This window comes from Homo sapiens, chromosome 8 (assembly GCF_000001405.40).
Source record: "Homo sapiens chromosome 8, GRCh38.p14 Primary Assembly".
NCBI classification, from domain to species: Eukaryota; Metazoa; Chordata; class Mammalia; order Primates; family Hominidae; genus Homo; species Homo sapiens.
In genome coordinates this window covers 20,267,506-20,291,060 of record NC_000008.11, presented here as the reverse complement: position 1 = coordinate 20,291,060, position 23,555 = coordinate 20,267,506, and the positions used below count along the sequence as shown (strand labels likewise).

At 49.0% G+C, this 23,555-nt stretch overlaps 1 protein-coding gene, 1 long non-coding RNA gene and 1 pseudogene across 5 annotated transcripts in view, besides 5 other annotated features; 1 reads left to right on the top strand and 2 right to left on the bottom strand.

Annotated features, from left to right (window-relative positions):
- The window catches only part of LZTS1 (leucine zipper tumor suppressor 1), a 57,799-nt gene that overhangs the window by 12,903 nt on the left and 21,341 nt on the right, over positions 1-23,555 (top strand). The window contains exon 1 of one of the 4 annotated variants that reach the window (XM_047421309.1): positions 17,526-17,603. The exons of 1 other annotated variant lie outside the window; for it this stretch is intronic. The gene's annotated coding sequence lies outside the window, so the exon portion shown is untranslated. Of the gene's footprint in view, positions 1-17,525; positions 18,054-22,796; positions 22,867-23,555 lie in introns of those variants that run through there. 2 more of the 4 variants (NM_001362884.2, XM_011544385.3) reach the window with 2 other exon arrangements.
- Positions 603-15,288, bottom strand: LZTS1-AS1 (LZTS1 antisense RNA 1). Its single transcript, NR_047509.1, has 3 exons — positions 15,147-15,288; positions 1,753-1,852; positions 603-1,252 (listed from the first exon to the last, which is right to left on the bottom strand). It is a non-coding gene; the product is annotated as an LZTS1 antisense RNA 1 (long non-coding RNA).
- RNA5SP257 (RNA, 5S ribosomal pseudogene 257) lies at positions 772-887 on the bottom strand (annotated as a pseudogene).
- Positions 18,652-19,187: an enhancer, noted in NCBI's record as "H3K4me1 hESC enhancer chr8:20129385-20129920 (GRCh37/hg19 assembly coordinates)". NCBI's record gives its function as "activates a minimal SCP1, AML or CMV promoter by ChIP-STARR-seq in naive H9 embryonic stem cells {active_cell/tissue: H9 hESC(naive)}" and the evidence as "EXISTENCE:reporter gene assay evidence [ECO:0000049][PMID:30033119]".
- Positions 21,804-21,863: an enhancer, noted in NCBI's record as "active region_27065". NCBI's record gives its function as "activates an Ori minimal core promoter by ATAC-STARR-seq in GM12878 lymphoblastoid cells {active_cell/tissue: GM12878}" and the evidence as "EXISTENCE:reporter gene assay evidence [ECO:0000049][PMID:35858748]".
- Positions 21,868-22,403: an enhancer, noted in NCBI's record as "OCT4-NANOG-H3K27ac-H3K4me1 hESC enhancer chr8:20126169-20126704 (GRCh37/hg19 assembly coordinates)". NCBI's record gives its function as "activates a minimal SCP1, AML or CMV promoter by ChIP-STARR-seq in primed H9 embryonic stem cells {active_cell/tissue: H9 hESC(primed)}" and the evidence as "EXISTENCE:reporter gene assay evidence [ECO:0000049][PMID:30033119]".
- Positions 21,868-22,423: a biological region, named in NCBI's record as "Sharpr-MPRA regulatory region 10012".
- Positions 22,129-22,423: an enhancer, noted in NCBI's record as "tiled region #10012; HepG2 Activating DNase matched - State 4:PromP". NCBI's record gives its function as "activates a minimal TATA promoter and a strong SV40 promoter by Sharpr-MPRA in HepG2 cells {active_cell/tissue: HepG2}" and the evidence as "EXISTENCE:reporter gene assay evidence [ECO:0000049][PMID:27701403]".

Here is a 23,555-nt window from a genome sequence, read left to right as displayed (position 1 = left end):
AGTGGGTGTCATGCTCAGATTGGCTTATGCCAGATGTGGTGCAGGAGTGGAGGAGCTGAGGGGAGAAGGTTGGGAGGCCATCCAAGTCAGCTGGGCTTCTGTCCTCCCTCGGGAAGGACCCCACAATACCATCTCAAGCCCGTGCATGGGACAGACTTTAGGGGAGGGAGATTTCTCCCCAAGGGCAGTGGCTGGACAGAAGTGGGGTTATTCTCCTTTCCTTTCTTCCTTCCTCCTTCCTCCTGCTTCAAAGCCAATGTCTTTCCCATCTGGATCATTTTCTGGATTATGTAGCACAAAAGGTCAGGAAAGGGAGAGAAAGAAAAACAAATAAAATGAAACTTCTCTCTTAGTTCAGTTTATGGGGGTTGTACACGTGGGAGAGGACATACATCCGGCTGAGTCTCACATAGGAAAATGCAGAAGTCAAGTTAAAGAGTCTAATTCTGCACTGGAAAATTGGAGAAATAGTTATTCTGCCTAAACGGCATTAAACAAGATGGGGGCAGCCTGGGTGGGCTGAGAAGAAGATGCTGGTGTTTTGGACACACATTCCCTACCAGGAACACATATACGAGTCCTCCTACGTGAAACAGGCAGGCTGGCATTTAATGATTTAATGTACCTTCCAGGAGAGCTCCGTATTGCCTTCCTTCTCCTCTTTGTCTTTTTCTTTCTTTAAGTGGAGGAAACTTTTCCCTGTTAATGGTGTGGCCCAGACAGCTGAGACACACAGCTATTAGGGCTCAGATCTGATGTTAAAACCTGCATCGTCAAAAGTCCATCAATTTCTCCATTCTCCCACCCAAGTCCTAAGCAGGCCCGACCCTGCTTAGCTTCCGAGATGAGATGACATCCGGCGTGTTCAGAGTGGTAGGGCCATAGACAGTTTCTCCATTCTAACTTGTTGGTGTCTGCGGTGGAGAAGGCAGTGTCTCCACCAACACGGGGCTCGCATGGCTTGTAGGAATGCCCAGGAGAGGGGATGCTGAGTTTGTTACTTGTGTCAGTTCAGTTGAGAGCTGTCTGGTTCTAGGACCAGGAGTGCTCCAGGAGATATCAAAGAGCTGCCTCGAACCAGGTAGCCATGGGACTTCCCCCCAGGCAGTCTCGGCCCTCCCTCTCGAAATTACGCAGTGGTGGGAACCTCCCACCTGTGGGATTGAGACACTGAGTTCAAAGGGCTGCCCTCTGCACAGTCCCAGGAACAGCTATTAAACTCCCACTTGACCTTGCTTCGGGGAGTCAGGAGCTGATGAGAGATGGGGAGCTTGTTAAACTCAGGCAGCCTGGAATTAGCCTCAGTCGCATTGGCATAAAATGCTTTTAGGGAAGCCTGCCAAGAGTTGAAAATCATGGTGCTGCGATAGGGTCCCTGCTTAATAAGCCTCCACCCAGGAGGGTCTTAGGGAGGTCCCAGGACAGGAGACAAGAGGAAATGGCCACACAAACCCAGAGCCCTCCCTGCTTTCCTGCCAGCAGCTGAGAACTGTGCTCCATTGCCTGACCCTGGAGCAGTTGAGGGACCAGGAGGTGGGTGGGGATCTTCTGGCAGGGGCCAATTGTGGATGTGGTTTAATTGCAGTGCTGGTCTCAGGGTCTTGCCCAGACCTGAGCTTCTGAGGGAGCAGGACAGAACTCTGCAGGAGGAAGTGGCAGGAGGACCCCCACGATCAGCCGCTTGTCTGCCTGGCCCACTTCTAAGGATCAGGGAAGGCTCAGCCTTTGCAGGCAAACCTGTTACATCCATACCCAATGATAGAAGGATGCCTCCAGAGGGGAGGGTCTGTCCTCAGGAAATTTTTTGTCCGTTGGTTAGATCGGTGACTTCCAAGCACTTTAAGAGCAATTCCTGCAAACAATTGATACATGATTACAAATCTGTTTTCCTAAATCTAATCTCTAAAGGCCCGAAATGGAATTGCTGTGAGTTCTTTAGATAAGCAGCCAGAAGAAATAGAGCCCACGGCCTTGTGAAGTTGGAAACAAATGTAAAAAGAGTTTGAGGCCAAGCAATCCCACTGTGTCTTAAGTCACCAAGTCCCATATGTCTAAAAAAAAAAAAAAAAAAAACCAGCTGCTATTTTTAAGCTCTTAATTATATCCTTCTTTTACAAATAAAATTTTACTCAATACTTACCAAAACCCTATGAGGTGGGTACTACCCATAGCTCCAGTTTACAGACAAGGAAATGGAAGTAGTGGCCCAAGACTTGGGGGAAGAGGATTAAATGAAGGGATTACCTGAACCCAGAGGGGAGGGTTGGAAGACGCAGGGGAGGCAGAGGAGGGGCAGGTTGGGCGCAGAGTTGGGGTGAGTTCTAGAGGAGCAGGGAAGCTGTGGGGAGAGGGGTGCCAGGGGCCCCAGTGGTGGGAGAGCCATGTGCTCGATGCCTGTGCGTGTGTATTGCTAGACGGCTGTTGACCGCAACCTAGGTTTGAAGCCAGGTACTGCCACTGGCCAGATATAAAACCTGAGGCATCATTTTTTTGCATCCATCAGTTGGGGTAGTAACAGTGCACCCTCTTGGGGTTGGGGTGAGGCAGGCACCAGATCATGTGTGTGTCGTACATCGTCCCATACCTAGTGCACAGGACACATGCAGTGAATGGAAGCCCAAGAGGAAGCTGTGTCCTCCCCGCCCTGGACTGGGCACTGCTGTTTCCACTTGCGCATCGCCTCTGGCCAGAGGTGATGGCGAGGGAGGGAGGCTGTCTCCAGGCAGCTTCTCCTGAGCAGTGGCCACCCACTTCCTGAGACGTGGGATGCTGGCAGTCAGCCTTTGCAGAGGCTCCTGACAACATCCAGGTCTTGATTCTGCAGCGAGGCGGTGATTTCAGAATCCCCCAGCTGTGTGGGGGAGGGAGGGAGACAGTGGGAAGACAAGCTCTGCTCGGCTGAGCTGACAACACCAGGAAAGCTTCACTCCTCTTTGAGAAGGAGAAGGAGCTTGTGAGGCTGAGACGGAGCAGGAGACAGGATTGCACCTGGGGCAGGGAGAGGCAGGAGGTGGGGGCTGGGCAGACCCACAGTCGGGATTCCCCATCCCCAGCAAAGGAGTGGAGGACCCCACCCTCTGCTTGGGGGTGGCCCATCTGCAGGTGGGCTGGGCTAGGGAAGGGGAAGAAGCCAGGAACCTTTTTTTTTTTTTTTTTTTTTTTTGGCTGGAGTGCTTTGGCGTGATTAGCTTACTGCAACCTCTACCTCCTGGGCTCAAGCAATTCTCCTGCCTCAGCCCCCCAAGTAGCTAGGATTACAGGCATGTGCCACTATGCTTGGCTAATTTTGTATTTTCAGTAGAGATGGGGTTGCACCATTTTGGTCAGGCTGGTCTCGAACTCCTGATCTCAGGTAATCCACCTGCCTCAGCCTTCCAAAGTGTTGGGATTATAGGCGTGAGCCACCATGCCTGGTCCCGGGCAGCAGCATTCTTTCTCCCCTTCACTCACTCTTCTCTCTCTGGACTGAGTTCTGGGAGCATTGCTGTAACCTCCCTGCCCTGAAGACGGCACAGATTCTGCAGAGGAGCAAGGCAGGGTCAACAGCCAGGGCAAGCTCATAGACCCTCTGTAGAGCCAGGAAGGGAAAGAGAGTTGAGGGTGGGAGCGAAAGAACGAGGTGGGCAAGGGTTTACATTTTACTTTCACCTTTTACTTCTTGCTGAGCATCTGCTGAGCAGCAGTGTCCAGCCCTGTGCTGACAGCAAAGATGTGGGAGTTTAGAGTCCCTGCCTTCCAGGGCACGAAGCTCCAGTGAGGAGCTGGGCCCCGTGAAAGGGTGGACTTTACTCCATGTAAAGTCAGGAGATGGTGTTTAGGAACTCACATAGTGTGGGCTTGAATTCTAGCTCTGCCTCTCATTTCCAAGTGACCGGCACCGAACACCTTTCTCGTCCTCTCTGAGACATGTTTCCTGATTGGTAAATTGGGCAGAAAGAACCACCTCGTAGGATTATTGTGATAATCTTTTAAAATCAATGTATTGAAGTATAATATACATGCAGAGGTGTGCACAAACCATAGGTGAACAACTAGACAAGTTTGCAAATTTTTCATATACATAGAAGCCTAGTCAAGAGAGAACATTAAAAGTACCCCCCGGAAACCCCTTGTCTTCCTCTGCTAATCCCTGCTGCTCCCCATCCTGACACCATAATTTTTACCTCTTTTTAAACATCTTACTGAATGGAATTGCACAGAACGTGTCCTTTGTGAAACTGGTCCATGTTGTGATTGTAGCAGCAGTGCTGTCATTCGTGCCCGTTGCTCCCTGGGATCCCCTCTACACATGAACCCCAGCCCATTCATTCTACTGTGCATAGGCATTTAGGTCTCCGGATATTTTGAGTTTGGGACTCTTACGCACAAAACTGCTAGGTCTTTAAGTGAACACATGTGGCCATTTCTGCCAGGTGTACCTCTACGAGTGGGATTGCTGGGCTTGTGTTCAACTTGGATAGACACAGCCAAACATTTTCATAGTGTGGCTGAGCATGTCTGCACTCCCTCCAGTGGTGTATGAGAGTTTCACTTGCTTCACATCCTCACCAGCACTTGGTATTATCAGACTTTTTCATTTTACCATTGAATAGTGGCCTAGCGGTAGGTATTTAATTATGATTTTAACTTACATTTTCCTAATCAGTACTCACAGTGAGTATACCTTTTTATATATTTTTGTCCATTAGCATGTCCTATTTTTGTCCATTAGCATGTCCTAGCCTGTTCAAATCTTTTGCTCATTTTAAATTTGGTTTCTGTTTTTCTATTAGAGATTTACGAGAATTGTTTTCTATGTTCTGATATGAGTACTTTGTCAGGTGTGTGTATTGTAGATATCTCCTTCTATTCTATGGCATGCCTTTTCATTCCAAGTTGAGACCTTTGATGAAGAAAAATTCTTAATTTATTAATATTTTTCCTCTAGAATAGTGCTTTTTTAATGACCTGGCCAAGAAATTTTTGCCTATCCAAAGGTCAAGAAGATATTATCCTTGGTTTTCTTCTAGATGCTTTAGGGTGTTAACCTTTTGCATTTGTATCTACAATCATCTGGAAATATTCGTGTGTGGTAGGAAGTAGGAGTCAATATTTACTTTTTCCTCAATGGATCCTGGTTGACCCAGCAGCATTTTTTTGTCTCACTTGCCTGCCATGTCTCCTTTTTCATAAATCAAGTGATCTTATATATTTGGGTTTGTTTCTGAATTCTATTTGGTTCCATTGGTCAATTTATTTACCTGTATCAATACCACATTGTTTTAGTTACCATTAAGTCTTGCTGTCTGCTGATATACACCCTCCAGCTTAGTTCTTCACCAAATGGTCTTGGTTATTCTTGCTCCTTTGCATTTTAGTATCTAAGCTGCTAGGATGTTGATTGTGATTGTATTGTCACTAGGTCAATGTGCATAAAATGTAAATCTTTAGATTATCAAGTCTGTGACCCATGAACCTGGCATATCTCTGCATTAATATAGATTTTCCTTAATTCATCACAATAATACGTTAGAGTTTTCAGTGTAGAGGTCATACACAACTTCGGTTATATTCATTCCCAAGCATACACATTTTGTAAATTACATGTTTTTCAATGTCTTTTTTGATTTATTTGTTGCTAGTATATGGAAGTTCAGTTGGTTTTTGTATATTAATTTATTGTGAGAAGTAAATGAGATTATGGATAAGCCCCAGAGACATAGTGGGGCTCACTAACTCGTATCTACACATGGAAGAACTGAGGCAGGTCAGGGTGGCAGGCTCAGTCCTAAAGGATATGGCCAGTGAAGGAAGGCATCAGGGTGTGGAAGTTGATGAGCTCACAAGGGCAGGATTTTCATGATGAGTAAAAGGAGGGAGAATCTCTACGAAGGGAAGCAATGTGAGAACCACAAGAAATCCATCTTGCAGAGACTTGAATGGATGGGAATGTTGGTACTGCACTTTAGAGTTTGTAAAGCCCTTTGCGTCCATTGTATCATTGATCCTCACTGTGTGCCTATGAGGTCACCACCTGTGAGCTCTTTATGTCGTTTTCAGAGATAAGGAACTGGGCTCAGAGAGTAAAGAGGCTCGGCCGAGTTCTCCCCATGAGGAAGTAGTTGTAAGATCAGTTTCGATCACAGCCTTTTCATTTCACCACTTAGTGGAGGGGTTTTCTAAGACTATCGGATGGGAGCATGGGTCTTGATGAGATAGGCTATGGGAGCAGGGAAAGGTTATCAGGCAGATAAGTGACCCAAGTGTTGAAATCTGTGTTTAGAATGACCTTTGTGTAGAATGGGTTGGAGGCAGAAGAGGTAAGCCGGCTGCCTTGGGGGTTGTCATTACATGCTAGGCATGAGATGATGCAGGCCCCAAGGTAGGGAGCAGAGAGGGTGAAAATGAGCAAATGCAGAGGCGAGAACCACAGAGTGTGGCTTAGTACCCCGAGGTCAGGTCTACAGGTCTCCACGGACAATGTACACGTAAAAGTGAAGAACACTCTCTTGGGCTTTTGGTTCTTAATACTCTCTCCATTAAAAAAAAAGTGAAATGTGCATGCCTTTACCTTCTCTTAACTAATCTTGTGATTAAAACAAAAACAAACAATAAACTCCTTCTTTCTCATCCTCTGCTCTGATGGCTGCGGGCTCCCAGCTCTTATTCCACACTGACCTGGTTATCTTCAGAAGGGCAGCTGTGCTCTGGTCTCCCAGAGATGGTTTGCCTTGGCTGTGCTCATCCTGTTAGCTCAGTCCTTCATCCAGTGACTCCCTTTTAAATGGCCCTGGCATGGCCGGTGCTTCTTCAACATGAGGCTGAACTTGCTGGTGGGCATTTGCCAACAATCCTTTCTCTCTTCTCAAAGCGTGTTTGTTTGCTGATCCAGCCAGAGCCTCTCAGTTGGAAAGAGCGGTTATGAAGCTGCCCATGGGGAGATGATGAAAGGAAGCCCCAGAGAGAATGACTCACTCAAGACCACACAACTAGTCAATGGCCAAGCAGAGCAAGTTCAAGTCCAGGATGCCTGACCTCCAGTCCATTGTCATTTCTACTCCACCATCAAGAAAGAGGGGTTGGAGCATCTATTGCTTGGGCAACCCTGAGATTTCCTATATTCAGTTGGTTTTGCCTCTGGTGGAAGCCTGATTTGCTGACTTGGAAGATTTCCATTGATCCTAGGCCTGAAGGAATAGACAGGCCTGGATTTGGGCAGGCAGGATGCACATTAGGCCAGATGTGCAGTGGCCACAGCTGGTTACTCTCTCCTCTGTGACCTGAAGTTGCAGCCAGAAGACCCTGAGTCCCTCCATCCTGCACTCCAGCCAAGCTAACATCTCAACAGTGTGTCTCACACTCTCTCCTTGCTGGTAGGAGCTGCTACTCTACATAACTCATATTCCCTTCTCTAGAATGGACCATCTGTCTCCCCAGAACAACCAGGTGTGGAGGAAGAACTGAAGTAGAAACAGGCTGTCTGCTTGGAAATGGCTCTCCATGTAAACTGCTGAAATTGTATCCCTCTCCGGGTTTCCAGAACAGACTCCAGTCTGTTCGGGCGGCTATAAAAAAATACCATGAACGAGGTAGCCAATAGGCAGCAGAAATGTATTTCTCACAGTTCTGGAGGCTGAGAAGTCCAAGATCAAGGTGCCAGCAGATTCAGTGTCTGGGGAGGACCCACTTTCTGGTTCATAGCAGGTGCCTTCTTGCTATGTCTTCAGATGGTGGAAGGGACAAGGTAGTTCTCTGAGGACACTCATCCCATTTATGAGGGCTCCACCCTCATGACCTAATCACCTCCCAAAGGCCCTACCTCCTAATACCGTCACATTGGTCACTAAGTTTCGACATATGCATTTTTGGGGGACACAAACATTCAGACCATACAGAACATCCCTTTCTCATGAGACAGTTCCAGAACACATCTGAGCATCCATGAAGTGTCTTCTTTTCAGTCCTGACCAGTGAAGCCACTGGGGAGATCACTGGGTGGAGATACCTTCTCCAGAGCTCTTCTCAAGCCCAGTCAGGCTCTATCCATCCCACTTCTGAGCCCCCAGGGATGCTCCATGGTGCATGAGGATGGAAGAGAAAGTGTCCTATTTTATTCTATTCTATTCAAAGAATTCTATTCTTGAAATATCCAGTGGGACCAACATGTATGAGTATCTACTACTATATGCTAGACATCATCAGACAAGTCCCATGCACTATCACATCCTCTCATCTTTAAAACCCCAGGGTGTAAAGATCAGTGATTTTTAACTGAGAAAGATTTTGCCCCCTACCCACCCACCTAAGGAATATTTGGCAACATCTAGAGACATTTTTAAAGGTAACTACTGGTGGAAAAGGGGAGTGAGTGCAACTGGCACATAGAATGTAGGGGCCAGGAATGCTGCTAAATGTCCTACCACACACAGGACAGCCCCTTACAACAGAGAATTACCTAGCCTTTGTCAATAATGCCAAGGTGGAGAAGCCCAAGCACAACTTAAATGCGAAAGGAAAAACTACAGTTCAAAGCAATTAGGTAGCAGTTCTTACAGCTAGTCAAGAAGGAGCTACGTTACAGTCCTCATCTGTTTGACCTTAGAGCCTATGCTTTTTTGGTCACCAAATGCTCCTGGTGCTCAGTAGCAACTGCCCCCAGGTCATATCTGTCATATCTGTGAGATAACTCATTCTACTGTTTTCCACATGGCCAGCAAACACCATTCTGCATCTGCCAGATCAGAGGCCCAGCAGGCTCAGAGAGCAGCTGCTCAGAGGCAAGCCTTTCCCACCAGTGCTCTGGAGGGCTACAGAGGCATGAGTCGCCACCTCTTCCTCTCTGAAACTTGAAGTCTCTAATGAGTCATTATGGTGTGTGCACATGAAAGGCCTTGTAAGTGCCAGTGAGGGTATTGCCAAGAACCCCATGGCTGTCAAAGGACTGTGGACCCTCGTGGTGACTAGAAAAGGCCCTCTTCATGGAAAGGCAGAACTAGAGTGAGTCTTGGAAGGCTTGGTGGTGGGATTGCAGTACTCAGAGGAGAAGTTCAGGTCCTAACATCAGAGAGAACGGAGCCTGTTTCTGAAGGTCAGGGGGTGGCCAGGGGCTATACTCTGGGGGGCTGGTAGCAGAATCAACTATAATGATAGCTCCATCCTTCCACCAACTCTTTTCTCTCTTATCTCCTGTATTAGTCCATTTATTTTTTCATTGCTATAAAGGAATACCTGAGACTGGGTAATTTATACAGAAGAGAGGTTTATTTGGCTCACAGTTCTGCTGGTTGTACAAGCATGGCCCCAGCATCTGCTCAGCTCTGGTGAGGTCTCAGGAAGCTTTTATCCATGGTGCAAGGTGAAGGGGGAACAGACATATCACATGGTAATAGAGGGAACAAGAGAGAGAGAGGAGATGCCAGCCTCTTTTCAATGACCAGCTCTTGTGCAAACGAATTCAGCAAGAACTCACTCATGACTGTGAGGAGGGCACTCAGCCATTCTTTTTTTTTTGAGACAGAGTTTCACTCTTGTTGCCCAGGCTGGAGTGCAATGGTGCGATCTTGGCTCACTGCAACTTCTGCCTCAGGTGCAAGCGATTCTCCTGCCTCGGCCTCCCGAGTAGCTGAGATTACAGGTGCCCACCACAATGCGCAGCTAATTTTTTTTTTTTTTTTTTGTATTTTTAGTAGAGATGGGGTTTCACCATGTTGGCCAGGCTGGTCTTGAACTGCTGACCTCAGGTGATCTGCCCACCTCAGCCTCCCAAAGTGCTGGGATTACAGGCGTGAGCCACCGTGTCCAGGCCACTAAGCCATTCTTGAGGGATCCACCCCGGTGACCTAAACACCTCCCACCAGGCCTCACCTCCACCCTTAGAGATCAAATTTCAACATGAGATTTGGAGGGGACAAACATCCAAATGATATCCTCTCCCATCTCACAATCTTACCCTTGTCCTGCTTCTGTAATGATTTTCTTCAACCATTCCTATAACCATTACGTTAAAAAATACTGAGTAGACACCGTCTTTGCTGAGTAGCTCAGGGAGAACAACTGTTCTTGCTGCCATTGCAGCCACCCAGGCCCTGGGGAATGATTTGAAAGAACAGATAAGCGAACTGTGAGCTGCAGATCATCAGCCTAGACCTGGCTGGTTAGAGAAGAATTCAGCCTAGAGAGGAGGTAGAAGGTAAGTCTGGGAGGTACTTGTGAGCGGTTTTTTAGAGAGCCTTGAATGCCAGGCTAATGTCCAGGTGGAAGGTAGGGAGTGCAGCTCCCAGAACTGGCTGGATCTAAGGAGGAAGGATGGGAGGAGGAGAGCTGGGTCTGTCCGGAGTGATGTCGCTGACAGTGCTTTAAGGAAGGGAACTGTCAGGACCACCCTGCCCCTTCCTCCCTCCCTGCTCTGCTGTGCCCACCAATTCTCCTGGCACTTCTTGAAATAACATTAGCGCAATCGACTCCCCAGCTATTAAAGGGGAAGGCAGTTCCACATTCAGGCGGTGCTGCTTTTTTATTTCAAGTGTTCTCACTGCTAATGGGACATGGGGTCTGAACACATGTGCACGCGCCTCCGTGCATGTGGCAGCGGGAGGAATTATCCCCATGAATGTCAATGAATGGGCAGGGACAATGAGGTACAGTGAATGAGCAAGTTGTAAGGGGGCCTTTCACAGAGGTCTGAATGACAAGTGAACTCTGAAGAAGACTGCCAGCAGGAACACGAGCCACATCCAGAGAATGAGAGAGGACTGTTACGCCTGACAAAGCCAGGCTGCGGGAAGAGCCAAAGTCCTTCCAATTAGCACTATTACTGGGCAGATGAAAGCAGAAGGAAGGGTGCACCCTTATTGTGGGCTACTCTAAGAAGATCAGGGCCGATTCTTCGAAAGAAAGAACTGAGAAAACGAGGGAAATCCAGCCTCATCTGGGGTTGGGGTGGTACCTAAGGGAATAAGAGCAAGCACTTTCACTGTCTCCTGTGTAGGAGGATGGCCTAAGGCCTCCTTCACCTCTTTTCTCGGTCAGTAGCAATTCTACTTCTTGGGATGGAAGTGAAATCAGGAAAAGAAAATTCACTGGCAATTTCAGCAATTTTTTTTTTTTTTTTTTGAGACACGGTTTCTCTCTGTCACCCAGAGATCATGGCTAACTGCAGCCTCAACCTCCTGGGCTCAGGTGATCCTCCCACCTCAGCCTCCTGAGTAGCTGGGACTACGGGCATGTGCTACCATGCCCAGCTTATTTGTTTGTTTTTATTAGAGTTGGGGTCTCACCATGTTTCCCATGCTGGTCTCAAACTCCTGAACTCAAGCGATCTGCTCACTTTGGCCTCCCAAAGTGCTGGTATTACAGGCATAAATCACCATGCTCAGCCTCTTTTTTTTTTTTTTTTTTTTTGAGACAGGGTCTTGCTCCATCACCCAGGCTGGAGCTCACTGCAGCCTGGAACTCCTGGACTTAAGCGATCCTCCCACCTCAGACTCTCAGTAGCTGGGACTTCAGGTGCATGGCACCACGCCCAGCTAATTTTAAAATGTTTTGTAGACATGGGGGGTCTCACTATGTCACCCAGGCTGGTCTCGAACCCCTGGCCTCAGGCGATTCTCTCAATTCAGCCTTCCAAAGTCCAGCAATTTCTGAGGCAAATAGCTAGATGTCTGCTATTTTTTATTTTCCTGTCACCAGCCCACTAACACATCTTCCAACTTCTTTGAGCCTCTCTGATTTCCCTCCCTCCTTCCTTGGATGGCTGTTTAGCTGGGTAAATGGAGACAAAACAATGTTAGTCTTCAAGAAGCCCAAAGACTAGCAGAGGGGATAGACAGATAAAGAACAGGTTACTTCAGAAACAGAATGAAATCAATTCTCTAAGAGTTTCAGTCTGCCATTGTACAATGACAGACAAGGCAGCAAAGAAAACATAGGATGGCTTCCTGGAGGAAGTGACATTTGAGCTGGACCTTGAAGGATGGGTTTTCACAGGCAGAAGGCTGGAGATATAGGGAGAAGTTTTGTGAAAGAGATTCTAGGTTGTGCCTGTGGCACATGAGAGCATTATGTGCTGAGTGGCATTTGGAAGAAATGGTGAGAAAGCACTGACAGGTGACAGGACAAATAAAACTGGCAATTGGGGTTGGGACCCAGGGCATAAAGGGTCATGAATGTACTGCAGGGAGTGAGTACAGATCTCCGAGGAAGGAAATTAAGACAATTATTGGAGAGAGGAGAGGCTGGAAAAGAACCTGAAGCTGTCAAGTCTGTGTTTTAGAAAGGCAGTGCCTAGTTGCTGCAATGTGGAAGATCTATTTGAGCTAGGAGAGAACTAAGGCAGAAAGTCCATTCATTCATTCATTCATTTGATGAATATGTATTGAGCTCCATATTAGCAGCAGCAAATCCATACAGGCCTGCAGCAACCCCAGTTCTTGCCTCCTCAGAGAAAGAATTAGACAGAGGAGGTATAAGGCAGAGTGAGAAACTGAGGCAAGTTTTAGAGCAGGAGTGAAAGTGTATTAACAACTATCAGGGCAGGAATGAAATGGAGTGAAGCACGCTTGTAAGAGAGCCCGGTGGGAGGCCTGTGAGAGAGTCAAGTGTACGGTTTGACCTTTGACCTGGGGTCTTATGTTGGCATCTTCCTGTTGCGTTATTTCCTCCTGATTCTTCCCTTTGGGTGGGCTGTCCACATGCACAGTGGCCTGCCAGCACTTGGGAAGGGCAAATGCTGTACCTGCACCGTGGGTTTACTGAAGTTGTGTGCATGCTCATTTGAGGAATTCTCCACTTACCTGTCTCGTTCCTAGAGGAAGGTAATATACCAGTTATACCATTTTGCCTCTTAGTGCGCATGCTTGAACCCACACACCCAACTGCTGAGATCTTATCAGGAAGCTGCTGATCACCAGCTTCAGGTGTTTCTATCTACTGGGAGACTGCCTGTCCCTGGCACCAGCTGTGACCAATTATTATTTCAGCGACACACTGTAACAACCACCTGACCATCTGATGGTCACCTGACATTCCTGGGTTGGGGACTCTCCTGCCCTGCTCATGCCTGCCCGACTACCTACTGTAACACAACTATGTGCCAGGCGCTGTGCTAAGTGATACATACAGTGGTGAGCAAGACGTTCCAAGGTGCTCATAGTAGATGGGAGTGTTTCCACACACACATTATCCTGCTCCCAGCCTTCCCTCCAGTCCCAGGGTTCCCAAGCTCTGCACCAAGCTGGAATTGGCATTAGACACAGCAAGTCCTACTGGGAAATGGCTAGGAGGCTGACAAATCCTGCTGTTTTGGATCTTGCACCAGATTCTTGGCACTATGGTGCACAGAAACAGAGAAAAGGGTGCTTTTAGGACAGTTCGCCCACCTGGAGTTGCTGGAATTTTCTAACACCCCACCCTACTTCCTCCAACTCATAGATCAGCCTACAAAGTGAAAATCCACAGTTAAAGGCCCAGTTCTTAAACCATTTCTTGGTTTGTCCTGTTGGAATTAATACCAGCCTTATATACTTGTTACTGGAAAGAGGTCCTAATCCAGTCCCCAAGAGAGGGTTCTTGGACCTTGCTCAAGAAAGAATTCAGGGCAAGTCCATAAAGTGAAAGCAAGTTTACAAAACAAAAGAATGGCTACTCCATAGGCAGAGCAGCAGCATGGCTGTTCAGCTGAATATACTTATAGTTATTTCTTGATTATATGCTAAAAAAAGGGGTGTATTATTCATGAGTTTTCCGGGAAAGGGGTGGGTACTTCCCAGAACTGAGGGTTCCTCCCTTTTTAGACCATATACGGTAATTTCCTGACATTGCCAGGGCATTTGTAAACTGCCAAGGCACTGCTGGGAATATCTTTTAGCATATTAATGCACTATAATTAGCATATAATGAGCAGTGAGCACGACCAGAGGTCACTCTCATCACCATCTTGGTTTTGGTAGGTTTTGGCCTGCTTCTTTACCACAGCCTGTTTTATCAGCAAGGTCTTTATGACCTGTATCTTCTGCCTACTTCCTGTCTCATCCTGTGACTTAGAATGCCTTAACTTCCTGGCAATGCAGCCCAGTAGGTCTCAGCCTTATTTTACCCAGCCCCTATTCAACATGGAGTTGCTCTGGTTCAAATGCCTCTGACATGCTTACCCTTAATCCTAATGTCCAGTATTGGGAGCACCTTTAATAAATAAACCGTTTTCCTCTGATCTAACACCGTAACAATCAACCCAGAAGACTTCTATTACCACATATGTGGGGTTTTCCCAACCAACAAGAAAACAATCAGCTCTGCAGAGGACCCTCTGATGTTCTCTCATTCAGTTCATTTATGGCACTACCTACCTGGAGATTAATTCACCAGGTTGTTTCACCAATACTTCTGACTGGCTATAAATTGGAGTTCCCATGACCCCAGCCTTGGGTTTGATTAATTTGCTAGAGCAGCTCACAGAACTCAGTGAAACACACTTACTGATTGATTGTACAGGATATTACAAAGGATACAGATGAAGAGATGCGTAGAGAAAGGCAGGGGAGAAGAGGTGGGGTGCTTCCATGCCCTCTCTGGGCACGCCACCCTCCAAGACCCTCCAGGTGTTCAACTATCCAGAAACTTCCTGAGCCCTGTCCTTTTGGGTTTTTATGGAGGCTACATTGCATAGGCATGATTGATTAAGCCATTGGCCATTGGTGATCAACTTAACCTTCAGCCCCTCTCTCCTCCCCAGAGGTTAGGGGCAGTGGCTGAAAGTCCCAACCATCTAATCCTGCCTTGGTCTTTCTGGTGACCTGCCCTATTCTGAAGCTACCAACCATCAGTCAAAAAAAAAAAAAAATCACTCTGGAGACTCTAAGGATTTTAGGATGCCAGGAAATGGGGTCAAAGACCAAATATATATTTTATAATATCATAGTCATCCATTCATTAAACCAGCGTATCTTAAAATGAATCTATCCCAGGATTATATTATTTCTTGATAACCTATAGGCCTCTTAAACATTTTCTTTATTTTTTGGAAGTAGTTATAATGGGGGAGTAGGTAGGGGGCTACTAGCTTTATAGACTTCTCCTCCCATTAAAATGTGCTCCAGTCCCAAAAACCTGCCTTCATTTCTGCAGGCTACACCATTTCTTCTACCCATGTTGAAATGCACTCAACCACATACCTCCTTTCTTGCAGCTAAGCCCTGACTCCTTTTAGTTAATAACAGTTCACCCCGGCACGTGACATCTGCAAAAAAGAAATCCAATCCTCATAACCAGCAGTTATGATACAGTCACTGCAGTAAGCTCCTACTGCTGTCCTTGCCCTGCACCCTCACCCTTCCCCACAGGGCCCCTTCTCTCTGCCCAGTCACTCATTTGCATCACAATGGAGGTCCTCTCCGGAGTCCCAGTCTTAACCCCTCCCTCTGCTGCTAGGACTGGACCCACCAGCACTTTCCATCTTCCTCGTCCTTCCTTGTTTCCTTCTCTTTCTCCTCTCTTACCCCGAGATTGCCCCTTACCCTTTAGGATTCCCTCACCTATGCCTTCTTAGATTTTTTCTCCTGCTTAGGCCCTTCCCCAACTCCCAGCCCACCTCTCTCTGGGGTCTGCAGGAAAGCTTCTCCCGGGTGGGGGAAGTAAGGCTGGGAGCTAACCCATATGGACAATTCTTTTTTTTTTTTTTTTTTGAGATGAAGTCTTACTCTGTTGCCCAGGCTGGAGTGCAGTGGCGCGATCATCTCGGCTTACTGCAACCTCTGCCTCCCGGGTTCAAGTGATTCTCCTGCCTCAGCATCCCAAGTAGCTGGGATTACAGCTGCCCGCCACCACACCCAGCTAATTTTTGTATTTTTAGTAGAGATGGGGTTTCACCATGTTGGCCAGGCTGGTCTCGAATTCCTGACCTCAGGTGATCCACCCGCCTCAGTCTCCCAAAGTACTGGGATTACAGGCTTGAGCCATGGCGCCCAACCATAATTCTTTCTGTCCCCAGTTAATGAGTTATCCATCTCTTCCACACACATTAGTATCTGTCCCCCACCCACTGCCCTTCAGAGACTTCCCTCCAGGAAGCGAATATCACAATCCTGAGAGGTAATCCCATTGAGACACACACACACACACACACACAGTATCATGGCAGCCACTCTATCTTTGTTTTTGATCACAGCGCTCCAAGGAGCCCACTCAGTGAGGGACCAAGGGTTAGGTCGAGGGGTCACTGAGAACTAATTCAATCTTTTGTACAAATCCTAACTTCCAGTTTAGGTGGGGCCACCAATGCATCCCGCTTTACGAGGACTTTCCTGGTGATTTAGCACTGACATCCCACATCCCAGAAATTCCCACAGTCCCAGGCAGATCAGGACAGTTGGTTGTGCTGTGTCCCAGATTATTTTCACAAAGTGGAGCTTGGAGTGCAGAAAAGCTCGACACCAAGGGAGTGTTGACGCTGGTACACGCACTTACGCCCCATTGGGTTACGCTGTCCAGCTGTAATCTTATCTCCACATAAGGGGGGTCTAACACTCAGGCCCACAGACTCCAACACGCCCACAGGCTCGGACCCAATGCTCAGGCCAGAGTGCCACTGAGGCATGAGTGCCCACATGGAGAAGCCTCCATCACACACCGGGATGGAGATGATTGCCGCTATGCTCCAAGCTACCTAGTGTATTCCAAGGGGTTCCCTAGGATGAGGAGAAGGGATGAAAAGTTCGTAAACACCCACTGTGTAGAGTGTTTTATGGTGTTGCATTTGGGAAAGGGTAGCTGGTAGAACATAGGCACCATAAAATAAAATACGATGCATAAACACACGCTTATCCATTCATTCAACAAACAAGCACTGAGTCTTGGGCCAGAAGGTACTGCGCTCGAAGCTGGGAGTACAGTGTTGGGTGAAAAACAGTCTTGCCATCTACTGAGAAAGAGCTCAAAGTAGAGAGCAGCTGTGCTACAGAGTGATTAATGCCCACTGTAAGAACACGCAGAAGGGGCCTCACAGATACGGGAAGGCTTCATAGCAGAAGAGTGCCTTCTGAGCAAAGTCCCAGGGGCTTTGGGCCTAGGGAGCAGCGTGGGAAAACCTAGGGCAGGGTCTGAGGGAGAAAATGACAGATTTACAAACTCCAGTCTCAGAATAGAGGGCGGGCAGGCCTGGGGAGGGGAGGAGAGGAAGTGGTGGCGGATGACATGAAGATACAAAGATACAGAAAGTCCCAGTCATGAAGGCCTTCTCTGCCATGTTAGGACATTTGGGCTTTATTTTTGGGGCAATAGGGTAGCCTTGGGAGAGCTAGGAAAAAAAAAAACAAATATAACAGGTCTATTAATTTCCCAAGGGAACTATGATAGCAACTTAGACTAAGACAGTGGCTATGGAATCTCAGGGAAATGCTGGTTTTGAGGAAAAGCAATAGTGAGACAGGGCTTGGTGGCTGGTCAGATGTAGGGTGAGGGCTGAGTGGGAATCAAAAGTTCCTGGTTTGCTTAGGTTTCTTGGGACCGGTTTCTGGCTTGATCACAGTTGTGCTGTTCACTAACACCGGGATTCCAGAAGGAGGGGCACGCTGAAGGCAGATGGATCCTGGCAAGCAAGAGAGAATGAAGAATTCCACTGTGGATGTGCGAGGGTGAGATGTGGCCCCTCCGAGGGAAGCGCAGTTGGATGTTTAGGGCAGGAGCTCAGGGGAGAGGATTTGGCTGCAGATAACGATCTAAAAATCATCCCCATGTGGATGCAGCTGACGCCGTGCAGAAGGAGCAGAGGTCAGGGTCTCAGATACAGCCTGAAAAGCATCCACATTTAGAGAATGAAAGAGGTAAAGGTGACAGAGGACAGGCTGCGCAACAGGAGGAAAGCCAGGCAATCACGGTATCACATAAGCCAAGGAAGCAGTGTTTCAAAAAACACAGACCGAAAAAGAAAGAGACAGAGCCGCCGAGAGGTCAAGTTTGCTAACTATTGGGAAGGTCCATTGGATTTAGCAACATCCCGGAGGGCAGTTCTAGTGGATTGGTGGGGACAGAAACCAGGGCCTCTGTGGATTGAAGAGCCAATGAGAAATGATCGAGCAGCAATAGTGAGTATGATGTTCTGTCTCTCTCGAGAAGCTTGGCTGTGAACGGGAGAAAAAAGACAGTGGTCCCTGGAGAAGAAAATGGAGTCCAGGAGCTTGTATGTTATTTTTGAATTGGGAGACTTGTGCACGTTTAAATGCTCATGGGAGAGAATAATAGAAAACTGGAAGTGAGAAGGTTGGCGTTGACGAGAGTCACGCCATGGCTGGAAGGATTAGTCTGAGATGAAGACAGACTTCTGTTTCACGGTGACAGGCACAGAGGAGGCAGCAGTCATGTCAATTGCAGGTTTATGAGTTCAGGGAATTGAGGGAGTTTCCTCCCAATGATTCTACTTATCTCTGTATTATAGAGATGAAGTTGTCTGCAGGGAGTGTGGCAGCAGAGGTGGGTACAGGGCTTTGTAAGTGGCAAAGGACTGATAAGATTTGAGAAATGCAACAGGGAGCAGGAGAAGCACAGGGCAGCTAGGGGGTCTTGATTCTAGGGTCCCCATCGGCATCTGGGCTCAAAAAAGAGTTCCATGTCTAGTGGACAAAGGCACCACTTCAAAATACAAAGACCACCCAGCAGGGAAAACCAATGAGGACCTGATCTGGGAAGGGGGGTCAGGCTCAGAAGGGAGAATTGGGCATGAGCAAAGCCACAGGGGAGGAAAAAAGCAAGACAGGCCCTTGAGGGTGGTCAAGGGACACCAGTAAGGTCACTCTGGAGGTCAGATGCGACCCAGAGTATCAGCAGCTGCACATCGTGGATCAGTCAAGAAGCAGGCCCAGTCATTCTAGCCTGAAATAGTGGGAGATGACCTGGGAAGACAGGTTGGGCTTAGATTGCATCGGACCTTGAATGCCAAGTTAAATGTGTCCATTGTCTGACATGATTCATGACATGATTCTATTAAGGCAGATTCTGTTCTGCTCAGTGCTATGCCTACAGGGCCCTGATGGAGACTGTGCACAATAAATGTTCAATAAGTACTTGTGAATATTGAAAAAATGCACAGGTGCTCCCAGCAGCTCACCCCTCCAGTGGCTGTTCTTTCTACCTGTCAAAGCCTGTGCTGACACATATACTGGGAGGTGACCCCCAGCTGCGGCTGCCCCACCAGGCACATCAAGCCAGGCCCCGGCCCTGCTTTCACCTGGCTCGCCTATGGCTAGTCTGTCCAGCAGCCGCTGTGCACCCACCAAACCACAGGCAATGGAAATGCATAGTCTTGGGTTTGAATTCTTAACAGAGCATAGGACTGGCATTGCTTTATTCAGACACAGTCAAGGAAGGCAAGGGGGAGGGAGAGGCGCTTTTCCACCATCCCTGCACTGGTGAAGCAGCCGCGGTCAGGGAGGTTGTTCCTGGCAGAGGGAAGAGTAGGTGGGAAAGAACCGAGAGGATGGCAAGTGGGGCCTATGAGTCACTCAGCGTCACCGGGGCCAGAAGGGCAAGGAGGTTCAGAAGCAAAGTGGGAGTGACCCCGAGCATCTACAGGTGGCTCTTCGGAGCCTCTTTAAGCACCTCTGGCCTTGCTGCTGGTAACACTCACCAGGAAGGTTCATGGAGACAGAGGGGGCACAGCTGAGGGACTTAGGTGGCAGCTGGGGGTCAACACTGCAGGAGCCCTGGGCTTCCAACAAGAGGTTAATTATCTCACTGTCAGGGGCTGTGGGGTCCACAGACTCCAGGAGAGTGGAAACACGGCCGGATGCTCAACCCAGGCTCAGCGGCTCCTGGGCTAAATGTGAGGCTCTAGTTCACTGAGAAGCCTTGCAGGAGGAGGCAAGGAGCTTGAGGAATCAGGGCAGAGGTGACACAGAAGTCAAAATTCCTCAGCCAGACACATCAAAGGGTACCAAGAGAGCTTTAACTCAGGACAGGTAGAGACTCGTTGGGAATGGCCACAGGCTTCCTGGCTTGTGCACACAGACTCCCATGCTGTTGAGCACACAAAAATACACTCAGGCACACACAGACAGTGCCAGGTACCCAAAGCTGCCCTCCCTGAGGGACCAGGTTAAACTCTTCGTGCCACGCCAGGTCATTTCCAGCACCCAAAGTCAGGAATCTGAGCTGTGCTTCCTGCTGGGGCTTCCTCAATTCCAATCCTTTCTGGGTTCCGAAACCCAGAAATGTGAAATCAACCAGGTCTCCCTGTTCCACCCCTTCCCTCTCCACACACACAAACACACACACACACACACACACACACACACACAGAGGACACACTCGGTGCATCTAAAAGATGAGCCCTACTGAAGTAGGGGTGAGGGGTAAGGCCAGAAGGGGAGGGAGTGTCTTTAAGACTTGTACTGTGTTTCCCCCACCCTTCCTCCTGTCCCACACCTGCCCACCTCCTGGAGGAGTCTGCGCCTTTTGTCCTAAGTTCTCCCTCTTCCCTGTCCAAACCAAAGCCCTCCTGGGTATGGCAGAGGTGGCAGAGGGCTTTCCAGCCTTCCTGCTTCTTTCTACTCTGTCTTGCCACCTCTGTCCTTCGCCATACTCTTGCCCCATCCAAACTCACAAGCTCCAAAGTTCCCTTAATTTTCCCTGGAAAGACAGCACTTATCACCTGCCCTCAGCTGCTGTTGATGGCTGATGACACGGGAAGCTGCAGGCTGCTGGGGTGCAGGGTGGGGGACTTGGCTTCATCCTTGGTCTGATGGGAGTATTTTTGTAGCAGCGCCTCTCAGCATAGAATGCTCTTCCCCCTCCACCTATGCCTCCTTCCTGCTCTGTTGTGGAAGAACGATGTAAGAGGAAAGCACTGGAGAGGGAGCTGGGGGGTCAGGCTTCCAGCCCAGCTCTGCCCCTGCCTTGCTGAGTGGCCTAGGACATGCCACCTACGCTCTGTGGGCCTCGCGGCGCACTGAAGCATCGCTGGCCTTAACAGCTTTTCTCCATTCTGTGGTTCCATCTGTGATCTGGTGCCAACGCATTTGACTGCCTGGGACGCCTGGTCTTGCCCACTCAGGAAGGGCCTCAGGCATAGATGGAGTAAGGAGGTGGGTACCTCTGTAATGCCCTGAAGGGGCCCCAACACCCTCTTTCTGCTTGAGGGTGCCCGTTAGTGAGAGGCTCCCATGCCCATCCCATCTCCTGGCATGAAATGGAGAGTCGTGCACCTGCTGCACTTCCCTCCATGGAAGACCCTGGTCTAGAGAGTGAAGAGGACCACAGTGTGGACCTGGGGACAGTGAAGGAAGATCAGAATTTTGGAGAGAGGGGAGGTACAAAGGCATCCCACAAAGTCAGAGATCTGCTGAGAGAGTTCCCATCCAATTTAGGGTTGTCGGATTTGCCAAAGGCTAACCAGGTGTCAACCTGCCTAGGGAGCTCACAGCAGCTCCACTCCCCTTCTCCTTGCCCATGCATGCCATCGCTCAGTTTCCATTGATTCTTCCGTACTGAACCTGAACTTGGCCTCAGAATACCGACTTGATCAATGGGTAAAACCTATGTTTCAGTCTCTGTCCAAGGCCCTGTTGGTTCATGTCGGTTCATCACTCAGACTCAGACCTGGGATCTTTAAATTCACCTTCCAGGGGTGCCCACTTAGTCTCCACTCTGGGTGTTAAAAATCTGGCAGGCAGGGGGCCATCTGCCCCCAACATGCTGGCCTCCAGAGTCCCATCTGCTCCTAGGTTGCAGTCTCTGTCTCTCCAGGTAAGACGGGAGGGAGTCTAGCCAGATGCCCAGCCCTCCTCTGGAGATTGCACCCACTCCCCTGTTTAAGATCTGTATCACGGGTCGTCAGAAGAGGCTCCCTTTATCCAGCGGTGCCCGGCTCACTTGGGCCCTGGGGTCCAAGCCATGAATGTGGATGAGCCTGCCTTCTGCTCTCTCACGTGGGACCAGCCGCAGCACAAACAGCAGCAGGGTGAAATTTGCATGAGCTTTGCATGTAACTGTGGCTTTATTTTTGGAAGGGGGAAGGGCAGGCTGGGATTGGTGGGTAATCTTGTTCTTGGGGAGAAATGTCAATCAATGCTGCTAAGACACAAGCTGCCCACCGGGATGGAGGAAGACTCCCCGGCAGCTGAACGCTGACGACCTGTGCACAAAAGCCCGCCCGGCAGAGTGGCTTTTGATTCCTCCAGAGCAGTGGGAAGCCGAATTGCTTCCGATTGTTCGACCCGATGGAATGACTCAGCCTGCCAGCGATTTCCCTTTCACTTTCTGCCTTTCCATGGAATCCAAGTGCACTTAATTGAGAGCTGCGTGGGCCCCTGCTCCCAACCCACCAGCAGCCTCTCCCCCCAGCACCTCAGCAACCTCAGCCCCTCCTCATGTTGCCCACGTTCCCCCACCCCCTTCCTCCTCCACTCTCGCCTCTTTTTCATTCATGCATTCACTCAGAAAATCTGTATCGAGCTTTGCTCATGTAGGCCTTCAGGCGTCTGCAAACTGAGCACGGGGAGGTTTGCAGCCTGGGCTGAGATGATTAACTAGCTCAAAGGCTCACCCCTGCCCCAGCCCTGGCCCCCAACCCCTTTCCCCCTCATCTAGAGCAGCAAATGGGAGGAAGGGTCAAGGACAAGGAATACAAACAGGAGGAGGAATTCCAGATAAGGAAAGCTGAATCGGGCAGAGTATGTATGGGGGGAGGGGGAACGGGGAGAATCATCATAAAAGGGGAGTCAATTAGCCCTGGGCACGTGCCCCATTCAGCCCCAGAGAGACCTCTGCTGGGGAGCTGGCTGGAGGCCCGCCCACCAGTCTGGTGCAGCCTGGGCCCCCCAGCCCCAGCTGGCAGATGCCTGGGGACTGTTCTCACATCTCTGCAAGAGCAGCTGCCCTCCTGGAGGCCCAGAGGCAGGCCTGGTGAGATGGGAGTGGGGGTGGGGGTGGGGGTGGGGGTGGGGAGTCCTTCTAAAGGACCTGCTCTTTTGACTTCAAGAAATGCGAGGATCTAATTCTAGCATCTTTCCATACTGCTCTATAATTTCACATGCACTTTGGTTTCAGTGCATCCCATGTGTACTGTCCTCACTGGTCAAGCATTTTTTGTATCTGTGATTTCATTTAATCCTGACAGTGGCCGGGCTTTGGTATCAACTGTGCTTATCTGACACATGAGGAAATGGAGACCCTGAAAGATTGAATTGTATGCCTGATGATACAGCAGATCCGTCGGTCTGGGATCTTTTGTCTAGGGCCTAATGCAAACATGCAAGTAAAGTGTGTGCCAAGTGTGAGGTCTGGGCCGGGCGCAGTGGCTCACACCTGTAATCCCAGCACTTTGGGAGTCCGAGTCGGGTGGATCATGAGGTCAAGAGATCGAGACCATCCTGGCCAACATGGTGAAACCCGTCTCTACTGAAAATAAAAAAATTAGCTGGGCATGGTGGCGTGAGCGCCTGTAGTCCCAGCTACTTGGGAGGCTGAGGCAGAAGAGTCACTTGAACCCGGGAGGCAGAGGTTGCAGTGAGCCGAGATCACATCACTGCACTCCAGCCTGGCGACAGAGTGAGACTCTGTCTCAAAAAACAAACAAGCAAAAAAACAAGTGT